Raw genomic sequence first — 13,793 nt, 5'->3', positions numbered from 1 at the left:
AGCTCACTGCAACCTCCACCTCCCGGGTTCAAGCGATTCCTGTGTTTCAGCCTCCTAAGTAGCTGGAACTATAGGTGTCCACCACCTTACCCAGCTAATTTTTTGTATTTTTAGTAGAGATGGGGTTTCACCACATTGGAGAGGCTGGTCTCGAATTCCTGACCTCAGGTGATCCACCTGCCTTGGCCTCCCGAAGTGCTAGGATTACAGGTGCAAGCCACCACTCCCAGCCCTGGTCTCCATTGCTTTTGACAAGAATTCAGCTGTTACTGTTGCTGGGGTTCCTCTGTATATAAAGGGATGTTTTTCTCTTGCTGTCAACATTTCATTTCATTCTTGCCTTTCCACATTTGACAAGATGTACCTGAATGTGGGTGTCTTTGTGTTGATCCTACTTGGAGTTCTGAAAAAGAATGTAAAGATTAATGTTTTCCATCAAATTTGGAAAATTTTCAGCCGTTATTCCTTTGAACATTTTTCCACTGTTTTGTCTTTTCTTATCTTCTAGTATTGCCATTATATGCTTGCTGTGTGCTAAATGGTGTCCCACATTTCTCTGAGGCACTGTACTCTTTTTATTTAGGCACTATTGTTCAGATTATATAATTTCTATAGATCTACCTTGATGTTGGTTGATTCTTTTTTCTTCCCATTGAAATCTGCAGTTGAGCCCATCTAGTGTTTTTTTTTTTTTCCTTTTAGTTACTATATACTTTAACTCCAGGATTTCCATTTAGTTCATCTTATAATCACTTTTTTTTTTTTTTTTTTTTTTTTTTTTGCGATGGAGTCTCATTTTGTCGCCCAAGCTGGAGTGCAATGGCATGACCTCGGCTCACTGCAACCTCTGCCTTCCGGGTTCAAGTGATTCTCCTGCCTCAGCCTCCCGAGTAGCTGGGATTACAGGCACACACCACCATGCCTGGCTAATTTTTCTATTTTTGTAGAGATGAGGTTTTGCCATGTTGGCCAGGCTGGTCTTGAACCCCTGACCTCAGGTGATCTGCCGGCCTTGGCCTCCTAAAGTGCTGGGATTACAGGCGTGAGCCACCATGCCGGGCCTATAATTGCTATTTCTTTATTGGTATTCTCTATTTGATGAGACCATGTCATTATATATTCCTTTACTTCTGTAAGCATGATCTACTTTAATTTTTTACCTATATCTTTAGATAGTTGCTTTTGCTAGGTCTAACAACTGTGCCCTCTTTCAAACAGATTCTGTTACCTTTTTTTCTTGGCATATAAGGAAAACTTTACTGCTTCTTTGCAGGTCTCATAATTTTTTGTGGAAAACTGGACTTCTAAGATAATATGTTCCAGCCACTCTGGATACTTATCTCCTTCTCTGAGGTTTGGTTTTGTTGTTGATTCCTTGTTTGCTTGTCTATTAGTTTAGTGACTTGACTGGACTATTTCAGTTAAGTCTATTTCATATGTAGGGTAAAGCCTCTGTTTATTCTCCTCAGAGAAGGAGTGGGTCATGCACAGCAGCATTCCATCATGAAATGGAAGTGGTATATATGTGATACATATTTGCCATATCCTACTATTTCTGTTCCTCTAAGAAAACCCTAATATTCCACTTCCCTTCCTCCCTTCTTTGATAGTCTCCCACTGTCTATTGTTTTCATCTTTATTGTCCATGTGTACCCCCAATGTGCAGCTCCCACATATAAGTGGTGGTTATTTGATTTTCTGTTTCTGCATTATTATTTTGAAAAGTCCATCAGCCTTTTCTCCTTTTAGGGGCATGACCTATAGCCATTTTAACTGTATCCTCTTTTTCTTGTTTGACTTCTGTTTTTCTTTTCTACATCACAAATTTCTATTTTTTATTCAAAGCAAGTAAAATAATTCCAACTCACCTCATATCACTCAAACTGTAATAACCAACATATTCAATGAGAAGGGTTATTGAAAAGATGACTTTCTAATAAAATTTATGTGGTTAACTCTGATAATAGCCACATTTTCTTTCTCTGTTAAATGGATACTTTCCTTGAGTACTAATAACTCTTTGACTCACTAATATAGTTCACTAGGTGAATGGGAAATTTAAAGTATATTAGAGTGAAGACAATATGGAAATAAATAAGGCATGGTCCTTACCTTCAAACAACCCACATTGTTAGGAGGAAAATAGTTACATGCACCATTAACTATTAATAAGAGAATGTATAAGAATGAGCAATGTAAGGTACTTTTAAAAAGCCTTATTCTAGAGGCTTCTGAATAAGATGTCTTTGTTACTGTGTGGCCACATTTTAAATTATATTTTTAGTTCCAATATTCAATAGATACAATTTTAATATGATGAAAAAATGCAAAATATACATCTCCAAGCCCCAAAAGCTGAAAATGTGGATGTTCTGGATTCTGGTTTTAAAGTAAACAAAGTTCCACTTTTGTAGTATGATGGAATATTGGAATATAGGTTGAATATGAAGCATATTGCTTGAAAGTAGCTACAGCATGGGTACCTTAAACCACTGAGATTAAGGCTAGCAATATTTCCTCTGTGGCTGAGGAAAGTGGTTTCAAAGCCAGGACATTAGCAATTTTGTCTTGTCTTAGTGATCGCAGAACTACATTATAAGATGTAAGATATATATTTCAAGTAGTGATCCTATCAAGTCTAGGTGGGATAATTACACATCTCTAGAGTTTTTAATAAACTTGAGAAGGAGACAGAAGAAAAAGCCACTAAAGATGGAAATGATTCCCTACACAATTCCAAAGCATTTTTTTAAAACAGAAAATTTTAAAAAATAAAAATAGACTAAGAAACATAGCTAATAAAATGTAATGGAGACTTTCACTTTCATCCAAGATACAGAAACAGGGACTCAATTTAGCCTCCTAACTGAAACAATTAAAACACTATATATATATATATATATATATATATATATATATATATATGCATGGCTTTCTAGACATTGGCTGTCAGGCATTAAAGGACAGTGATCTCTGAAAAATGGAAAATAAAGGCGGTGAGACCGAGGATTGCTCCTATCTACTTTATTTTAAAAGTTTCTAGGAAGCAGCACCAGAAAAGGGAACCCAGGTAGACCCCAGCAGACTTCTTCAGTTGAAGAGACAGTGCAGAGAATCTGAGAAGCCAATGAAACTAGCATTTGCAGAGCAGAGTACTACAGAGACACAGCTGCAAGAAGCAATATGTTCCAGAGGTCTACTAAGAGACCTCTCTTGACTATTCAGCTGAGTACTTAACAACACATGATGTGAGAAAACTGCTAGAGTTGGAGAAAAAAATGTAAAGTGATCAGAGGTTGATATGTTAAATTAGTTTTTATGACCTAAGAATCTGTTTAGACTACATTGATGCTAATTGAAATCTTTCCTTATCTGTAAAATGCAGTGAATTCCCTTATCTGGGAAATTTTGCTATGTGTTTTTATTATTAATTGTATAAATTTAAGGGATACAATTGCAGCTTTGTTGCATGAATATATTACACAGTGGTGAAGTCTAGGCTTTTAGTGTAACCATCCCTCGAATACGTCCATTATGCCCATGAAGTAATTTCTCATCCCTCATCCCCTCCCACCCTTCTGAGTTGCCAGTGTCTACTATTCCACATTCTATGTCCATGTATACATATTATTCAGCTTCTATTTATAAGTGAGAACATGCGATATTTGACTTTCTGTTTCCAAATTGTCCACTCGCCATGCATTAAATCCATGCCATGAATTTACAGAGTAAGGCCTTAATTCAAGTCAATATGTATGGTAGGCTATCTGCAGAAACAATATTGTCTGTTTCTTTCATAATTATATTTTGGATCTCTATTAACTATCTTTCATACCCTTATCCTTCTTTTAAATTACTTCAATGTTTTTTCCCCTTCTTATATTTCCTGGGTAATTTCCCCAAGTTTCTCCTTAACAACACTGACTTTATTTTTTCTGTTTATTTTTTTCTGCTACTAATGCAGTCTTAAATTTTTCTAATAAAATTGTTATGCTATTTTTAAAAATATGTTTTCTCATTTATTTTCATCCTGGTTTATAATATTTTAATTTTACTTATTGTCTCTAGTTTTATGAAGAACAGGGATTTTAAAAGAAAAAATCTTCTAGAATATAAGCAGCTTTTGGATTTCTTTTTTTTGGATGGATTTCTTTTCCCTTGGGAAAATATTGCTATAAATTTTGATCAGATTTTTCTGATACTATGTTTATTTCTTATATTTGATTGCAAAGTTCTTTGAAAGTTTTTATATGTATATTTTTTGTTTTCACAATCCCAGTTGTTCTGCTACTAACCCAATACATCTATTTACAAAAGAAGTTACATGAGTCTCTTTTTTCTCCATTTTTTTGTTTACATAGGCAAATTTCCTTACAATGTAAACTGTAATAATAGTTGAAACATGTGGTTTTATCAATTCTGTTTTACAGCAGCCTGAGAAGAGTGAAGAAGAAAGCACAGAATCCGGTCATTTATAATCAGAATTTTGATCTTCCAAATATTTCACTTATATCTTGGGTTATTTTGTTTGTTTGGTTGGTTTATAATAATGGACTAGGGCCCGGATCTATTGAATTGGACTAGTAAAGTTGGCCATTTTGAGCTGTGTATTACCTAATTTAAACTGTTGTTCTAATTCAAAATGAATTGAACTCACTGATTTTTAGAGAATCTGTGGTCCACATAAAATTTTTATCTTCATAAGACCAAGCTTCAATCAGAAGTGTTCTACTGATGCTTGTAAAGTACATTCAGGTGCACATACAGTGTATGATTCCTTTATTCAGACTTCCAACATTCAATACTTTGCTTCCAAATCCAGGGCATTTTCTCCAGGTTGGTACTTTGAACTTCAAGAAAATAAAAAGGTTATTTGTAAATTTGTGAACATGACTGTATTAGGCTGTTCTCACCCTGCTAATAAAGACATACCCAAGACTGGGTAATTTATAAAGGAAAGAAGTTTAATTGACTCACAGTTCCACATGGCCGGGGGGCGGTGGCTCACAATTATCGTGAAAGGCGAATGAGGAGCAAAGTCACATTTTACATGGTGGCAGGCAAGAGTGTGTGCAGGGGAACCCTTCTTTATAAAATCATCAGATCTCATGACAGTATCACCAGAAGAGCATGGGAAAGACCTGCTCCCATTGTTCAGTTACCTTCCACCGGGGCCCTCCCATGACATGTGGAAATTGTAGGAGGTACAGTTCAAGATGAGATTTAGGTGGGTTCACAGTAGAACCATATCAATGACTTATACTCACACAAATTGGCCTGGGATTCGATGCTTGGAGGTTAGACGCTTAATGGGAAAACTTTCCAGAAAAATAGTTTGTTTTAATACAATATAAACATGCTTCTGTGGTCAACTTTTCTGAAAATGTAAAATACAGGTTCAGAACACTGAAAGATACACTGGGAATTCATGTACTGGGTTAGTAGCTCTCCAACCTTGAGTATCTGGAATTCTGAAACATAAAACAAGGCACAAAGTATTGTCCAGAGATAATTAATTGACAGGCTCAAAAAAGAAATAGAAGATCAGAATAAAATCTATGTAGAGCATTTTAGAGACTCTTCAATGAAAAAGTTCAGATTTTATAACATAAAAACAAGAGCAGGGAGAAGGTATGGAGGGTGTTCATTAAAGACATTTATAAATTTTTTAGCTGAAAGAATACCTTAAAATAATTAAGTTGGAAATGAACCAAAAACTGATTAGAATAAATGCCACCTCTTCTATATCTGTGAATACTTTTCACACTTGGATTGTATTAGAAACATACAGGTACCTTTATATTATGAAGATTTGGTGTAGCATAACTCACAGAGGGACTTAAAAGGATGATAAGGTAAAAATATTTCAGGCATAGGAAATAAGTGTATGGATTGAGAATGATAAACAGAAAAACTAAAGAATTTATCAATGTAACCAAAAACTATATATATATATACACACACACACACTCACACACACACACATTATTAAATACACTAAGAGAAGCAGCAGCAAGAACCCAGTAGAATATCATTTGCTCATATCATACATTCCATTATTTTGACTTGAAGTACTATGGGGTAGAATTTTTATCTTTAAAGAAAACTATAATTCATCTTAGTAATCTCTGGAAGTATCTAATGTGCATATAGTACCATAACACACTATGTATGACAGAATGTGGTAGCACAGTTTAATGATTTTATCACTAGGTATTTTTATCTCTTAATGAGACAACTTGTTTGCAAAACATGAAAAGATAGCATGGAGACTGGGGAATGTAGAAGAGTGGAGACATAATTTGCTATTTTATTGAAACTGAGTTTGGCTGAATTTTGTGCCTTCATTTCTGGCTGGAGGTGTAGAGGCTTGTTTTCCATTCTGTCTGAAGCAGTTACTTAGGAGATAGAAATACATCAATTACCTAGTCTATCCTCAAGGAGCTCATGTTTGTTCAAATAAAGACAGACATGTAGCTACACAAACATAAAAAGACAGCATAAGATCAAAAAATTATGTGGGACAGATCACTTCCAGAAAGCACTGGGAAGTAATTATGGAGCCCTCATTAAGGAGTTGATGTTTGAACCAAGGCTTGATGAGTTTTTGACAGACATGGGGAGATACAGGGCAGAATATCTCAGAGAAAGGAGAGTGCATTAAAGCACATGGACAAGAAAGCCCAGAATGGATGAGGACAGGATGAAGAACACTAGGTCCAAGTAAATTAGGTCGGCTAGAATTGAGGGTCAGTCTAGTGCCCTTAGAATAATCACAATGTTATTTTCAAAATTTTCTATTCACATAATTTTGTGGTGTTAAGTATAAACCTCTACAATGCAAAATCTCTATTTTCTCTGCAGTAAAATAAATTTGGTCATCACTCTATTTTTTTGTAGTTAGTATTGTTTCAAGCTATATTTAAGTTGAAAATGCTACAGTCACATAATTAAAAATTCTATAATTAAAACATACATACTCACATTTTATCATAACTTCATACATGAAAATTTTGTTAAAGTAGTCCTCAAACATAAAATCAATAAGTTCCTAAATGAGCCAAATGCTGCTAGAAAAAGTATATACTGAAATTATTTATTGACTGTACTTTATTAATAAATTTAATTTTCTTGTTACAAATAATTGGGTGATTTGGCCTCACTTTTCAAAGAAGCAATCTACAGATTAATATTTCTCATAAAGCAGGGAAAATATAAATCTATGTAGACAACAATTTAAAAAAAACACTTAAGAACCAATTACATTGAATTAAATTATGTTGAAAAATTATTAAACGCAAGAAACCTGTGGAAAGGAGAAAGTGAGTTTTGGGTACAATTAATAAAAGAAATACACATTACACCAAGCACATATGCTACAAATTCTAGTTTATATTGCATTAAATATACTGAGCAAATAAAAAATAAATTATTAAAGTGAGAATTACCAGCTGGCTTCTTTCAAGAATCAAAAGTAACTCAGGGCAATAAGTTTGAGTACGGGGTTTTTTTTGTTTTTTTCCTTGGGTTTTTTTTTTTTTTTTTATAAGTTATTAACCAAATGCAACAAATTTGGATTCTTGACAAGGAGAACAGGTTGCAGCATATATTAAAATGGGGCAATGTCAACAAAGTAAATGTAACTAACTTGCTCATTAAACTGGAGTCATTTTTACTGTATTCTAAAAACCATATTAAACCACTAGAGATGCAAAAATGAAAGAAAGCCTATAGTCAGAAATGTAAGGTGTGGAATTTTTTCCTATGCATCTTGCAGTTAAAAGCGTACATGGGACTGTTTAACAAAGCTTTGTTGAGTGTCTACTTTGTTCCAGGTACTGTGCTGGGCAAAATGAACTTATAAAAACAAAAGAGAATGAGAAAGAAGAGCAGAAGTAGGAGGAAGAAGAAAATCTCCTGCCCTCAAAAAGCCCCGAATCTATGAGTTCAGGATTTAATAACTTAAATATTTTTAGGACACGCCTACAAATTGTTATGTTCCTGCTTCTTTCCAGGGCCCAGTCCAGCCTTGAGCAGACACATCAATATATGAATGAATCATAGCCTGGATTCTTAGCCTTGCACAGTCCTCTGTGAAGTTTCTGTTGTAAAGTTGGGTACTATATTAACTCTATTCAAAACAACTACAATTTTTTTAAACTTTCTAAAATAGTTTTAACTGTAAAAGTGTCTCCATGGGTATATTTTCCTGTAGAGGCTGTAAAGCCAAGGAGCACTTCTGGGGTACTTCAACCACCCCTCCTACAAAACTCTATACCCTTGTCATATTAAAATTGTATGTTATGCCAGGCTTCCCTAATACAACAAAATCTCTGAATAAAACCTATTAAATATACAATTTCTATCAACATGCCTGCCACACATGCTTAATAATTGCTTAGTGAATACAAGATTAATGCATGAGTGCCTAAGTTACTTCATCTAGTATAACAAATGACAATATCTCATTTGTTTCCCGAAGTATCCTTATTCCATTCAAGCTCTGAAGAAAGTATTAATGATATTTGTCCTTAAGTAATTTTTTCTGCATTCAAATCTCACCATTCAAATGATTTTCCAACAGTAGTTTCCCCAAAAGCAGTTTACACAGTTACATTTGTTATAATTTTTGAAAGAAAAGTTGGGAAAATTTTATTAAGACTCTGAATGTAGCTTACTGCCAATTCATGAAGAAAGCAATGTAATACGTAGATACTTCATTCCACCTTTCCCTCCATCATAGTTTATAACTAATTAGGAAATGTTAAAGAGCAGAGCTCCTTACATTATTACTGAAGTCAGCATTTTATACTTTTTTTTCTAAGAGCTAGTGCCTTTAATTCATCATATAAAGCAGCTAACTTACTCTACTATCAAGTTATATTTTCTTGCAAATATGGTGATATGTCACATGTGTCATTCTTCTAAAAAATTCTCCTAATATATCCTCCATTTAATCAGATACAGGACCCTGTGGGTTCCACTAACCATAGAAATAAAAGTAACAACTTATAATTATGTTTTAAAACATTTTATTAAAAATTCTGAGTGTTCTGACATATGTAAGAAATGAAAATATATGCAATTTAAAACTTTTTATTTTCTGACTTTTTGAGGAAGGCAGATATTAAACTGTATCATATCTCTGAAATAATTATATTTTTTGCTAAGAAGCTCAGTAATTTCTCAGTTAATATTTTTCATATACAAATATGCATACCTGTAACATAAATTTCCAGATTATGTACTTAACACTGAAAGTAGTTCTCTTTGTTGCAAATCATCTCCTCCCAAATGGCAGCTGAAACATCAGGGAAAGTACGATTTTGAAAGGCCAGTGAACTCTGGCAACGCTGTTTCTTACACAAGGGCATCTCTTAAAGATCCTTCTTGTTATTTCCTTCAGTCTTTAGACACACAGAAACCAAACAATGACAAAAAAAAATCTGCTTAATGAATTCTCCTATTTGCTCTTTGGTATATGAAATTATTCTCTAAAGCTGATACAAGTACTTTTTTATACCAAAGAGTCCAGAAGGGAAGCAGAACCAAGTACTGCTGGGAGAGGGAATGGGTGATATCTGCACAATTCAGTAGCTGCAAATTAGAGCTTAGTAACGCTGAATATTCAATATGTGTAGCTTTTCCTCTTGATGCACTTTTGCTTTTATGAACCACTTTGAAGGTGAACCTGAATTTTTAGGCAAGTAATTAGTAGCATCTGCTTTTTTATTCATTAAAAAATGGTACTACCTACCATCTTACACATTGCACTGGGGGATATTGGTAAGGTAACATTGCTAGGGTTGTCAATTATTGCTTCAAGTAGGCTTAGAGTCCCATCTAATAATGAGTTTATTTGTGCAATTTTAAAAAAATAAAACAGAAAGCTTAGTTGGATCGTATCATTGAATATCTAAACGACAACAGTGCTTTCTTTAGCTATCATTAGCGTATGTATTCTGTGGCCTATGACTGAAAAAGACCTCTGCATTGCAAGAGTGATGGAAAAAACGTGTTCTTGGATTGGTAGTTCCAAGAACTCTTATGCAGAGGTCACACACTCAGAAAGTGAAGGGAGATTGTGTTATCTGTGGGCAACCAGAAATATCTGTGGGTCTCACAAATATACAGCGATTCTGTATCTGGTTCTAAAGGGACTTGGGTTACACAGCAGAAAGGGGAAGAAAAGCAAATCAAAGCATGGTAAAAGGCTAACTGTTATCACTTATGAAAGTCTCAGAACTTGAGGGTAAATTGGCTGAATGTAAACGAACATACAAACAGTGACAGAAAAAAGGGGGTTCAGCAGGGAAATTGGTGTAAGTAGTGTTGCAGTTTGAATTGTGTCAATGAATAAGATACATTGAAGTCCCAATTCCCCATACCTGTGAATGTGACCTTATTTGGAAATAGGATCTTTGCAGATGTAATCAAGTTGAATTAAGATTATGGGGAGGAGGAGGCCCTAATCTATTATTACTGGTGTCCTTTTAAAAAGAGGAAAATATCATGTGAAGACAAGATATGCAGGGAGAATGTCAGGTGATGACAGAGGCAGAGATTACAGTGATGCAGCTGTAAGCCAAGAAACAGTAAGTACTGACAACCACCACCAGAAGCTAGGAAGAGGCAAAGAAGGAGTCTTCTCTGCAGGTTTCAGGGGGAGCAGGCAGGGGATGTGTGTAGCCCTGCTGACACCTTGATTTTGAACTTCTAGCCTCCAGAACTGCTAGACAATAATTTTTTCGTTGTTTTAAGCCTCCCAGTTTGTGCTACTTTGTGTAATAGCCCTAGGACACTAATACAAGTAGCAATAACAAAAAGGAAACAAATGGAAGAGACAATGACACTTCTTAGACTGCCTAAGCAAACTTAGTCATAATTTTGAACTACCCTGAGTTCTTGTCAGAAGGGTGTTACTGGGCTCCAAATGAAATAATTACTTGTACTTTCCGGTTGATCCAGACTACACTGCAATCTTTGAAATTAGGAAGGAAGCAAATCGTGTTTTCATGTGCTTTAAATTGTGTTTCTCCATTTATTAACATATATTTTTGAAAGCCTGAAAACATGCTGATCTCTAGAGTTTAAAGATTAAGCCCAGCACTGTCTCTCAGGAGAGAGCATGTGCATGACCGTAATGAATTTTATTAATTGATATATGAAAAAGCACACTCAGGATAGATGGTGGAGGCAGACAGAAAGCAGGACAGAGTGTTTATTTTGGAATTGCACAGACCTTGGCTCCAATTCATGCTCATCAAATTACTAGTTCTATATCGTGGCATGAATAATTTAGTTTTTTAATTATCTATGTCTTCACTTATAAAATAGTTATAGTAATATATGCCTTGTAAAATTAAGGATGCATTAAATGAGGATATATGTAATGTTTTAGAGCAGAGACTGCCATAGACTAAATGTTCAATAAAAAGAAGCTTTTATTAATGATACTCATAATATAAAACAAAGCAGAAAAATGTAGGAAAAGGAGCAGCTATAACTGTCTGAAGACATCTGAGAAGGCTTCAGGGGAAAAGTAGTTTTCAAATCTCAGCAAAACAGCTAAGTAGAAATTCTGTAGGAAAGCAAGAAGGCTAGGTATTTCAGGAAGAAGAAACTTGATGTGCAAAGACGTGGAGACAGTTTTGTCTCCTGATGCCTGTCCCCACCTGTGTGATGGGCATAGCATAAGCAGTAAGCATTCACCTAATCGTCTATGTGCTGTCCCAGCTTTCCTTGCAATTAAGTTAGGTAGAATGACATTGAGTGCTGACCAATGAATTAGGCAGAGGTGATATAGGCTACTCCAAGTCCTGTCCCTTGGAAACATTCCCTGTGAAACCTCAGATTGCTTTTCCCTTGTCAGGTTGATCTAGGAGTCTATATTCCCAGATAATTGAGTTACAAGTTGGAGAGAGCCTATATTCTTGTGTTCCAAAATGGAGAAGACTGTTCACTGACTTGCATTAGGCCCTGCATCAACAATAATTTTGTTGGTGTGTGTGTCACATCACTGAGATTTCAGGGTATATTGCAGCAGCTAACATGAATTACCCTGACAATGACCATAGCCTCTTTATAATCCCTACTCTTTACCCTCAATGTTCAACATGTAACTTTCCTATCCAACAGCTGCAAAGCTACAAAACTATCTTCAATTTGATAGTAATTGCAACCCAGCCAGCAAACTGTATGGTAAGGTGGAAGTAAATGGGTACCTGTATAAATATTTCCATTATGTCTTTTCACTAGTAGAAAATAATCTAGTCGTTCAATGGCCAACATCAGAAGCTATTTTATCCAACAGTTCATTAATTCCCAAGTCTTAGTTGCAAGATTTTAACAACACAGATAGATCATAAATAGTAAATAGGCACAAAACACAATATATAAATGAGAAATTATTATAGCTTTTGAGAACATTGAAGCTATTAAAATATAATTTTTTAGAAATGAGAATGAAACAGGAATATGATTTCACAAGCATAATTCAAAATAGTCTAAATACTTGTCTAATACTAAATATGTGCAATTACTTGTAAATACAAATGAGAGGGAGACATGGGAGGGCTAAAGTATAGTAAAATTAGACTTATGAAGCTTTTCCTAGTGCATAAAAACGCCTAGTCACTTAGTTCATTACAATTTTTATAAATCTAGGCTAAACAGGAAAATGACATCCACCAGAAATAATTCAGAAGGTAAAACCCAATTAAAAGCTTATGCTAATGATACTTAACAAGGAGATTAAATCTTTGTATAAAAGAAGATCCAGCCAAGAAAAGAGAAATTCATACAGAAATTATTTAATACTGGTATCAGAGAATCTGCAGATCAATCAGCAGTTGACCAATGTGAAACTGTTGAGGGGGATGAGACTCAATTTTATTGACTACTGACACTTTGTCAATGCTTTTTTTAGATTTCCAGCAATTCTATGAATTATATATTATTTTAACATCTTTCTGGTGAAACAACTGTGAATCAAATAAGTAACTGATATGCTCAATTCACCAGCTAGTAAGTGAGAAAAATGGAGTTTAAATTGTCTAACTCCTTATAGTATCCCATCTATTGTACCACATGGCATAGGTAAGGGGGAAGACTTTCCCTACCTCTTGCTTTTCATGATAATATGAACAATTACTTTCATAGCATAATCAATTAGTAGCACTCTCCCAGGCAATAATAGTGTATCCTTACAAACACAAAGTTCATAAGAAATAAGTTTTTTTGTATATAAGAAAAGGAAACTCCCAAATTTTGTTTTTCGTGGCCACATCTGTACTATCAATCTTAGAAATTACAAAATTCTGTTTTCCCTACTGACCTTTTCAACTTTTATATTTTACTGGTCTTTTTTCACAACTTGAAGTTGCTAATATCTTTTAAAGGAATAACTGGAGAAATTATATTAATTGTCTGAAGTTAAATTTGTTCTTAAGGCATTTTTAAGAAAGATTATTTATTCAGCATCCTGACAAGAGAAGATGCTTTGTCAAAGAGATCAATGAATTTGGAAACTGGAGGCTTATCTACAGGGCATTAAATTAATACCAGGCTTCACCAATAACCTGGTAAGTCCACAGAAATCCTAAGGGCTTTTATGATGAGCTGTCAACCTTTAGGCAAAATCTCTATTCTTTCCAGAAATTTTCTGCCAACCACAGAGTGTATAAGACTACTCTTTCTTTTGAGCTATTTTGTGGCACGTTTCCCTGCACAAGAAGAAAGTTGGGAAAGCTTCACAGTTCTATAAATCTCTTAGTCAATTCCCTTTTCTCTTT

General features: G+C 34.7%; 1 long non-coding RNA gene across 6 annotated transcripts in view; it reads right to left on the bottom strand.

The window, feature by feature from the left end:
- LINC02718 (long intergenic non-protein coding RNA 2718) overlaps positions 1-13,793 on the bottom strand; it is a 376,384-nt gene that overhangs the window by 45,737 nt on the left and 316,854 nt on the right. For 3 of the 6 annotated variants that reach the window (NR_187207.1, NR_187206.1, NR_187210.1), the window contains exon 5: positions 4,658-4,850. This is a non-coding gene — a long non-coding RNA (long intergenic non-protein coding RNA 2718). Of the gene's footprint in view, positions 1-177; positions 404-4,657; positions 4,851-5,267; positions 5,472-13,793 lie in introns of all 6 variants that reach the window. The other 3 variants (NR_187205.1, NR_187209.1, NR_187208.1) reach the window with 2 other exon arrangements.

The sequence above is a fragment of the Homo sapiens genome, chromosome 11, assembly GCF_000001405.40.
Source record: "Homo sapiens chromosome 11, GRCh38.p14 Primary Assembly".
NCBI lineage: Eukaryota > Metazoa > Chordata > Mammalia > Primates > Hominidae > Homo > Homo sapiens.
Note: the sequence above shows the minus strand (reverse complement) of the source record. Positions and strands in the feature narration are given on the sequence as shown.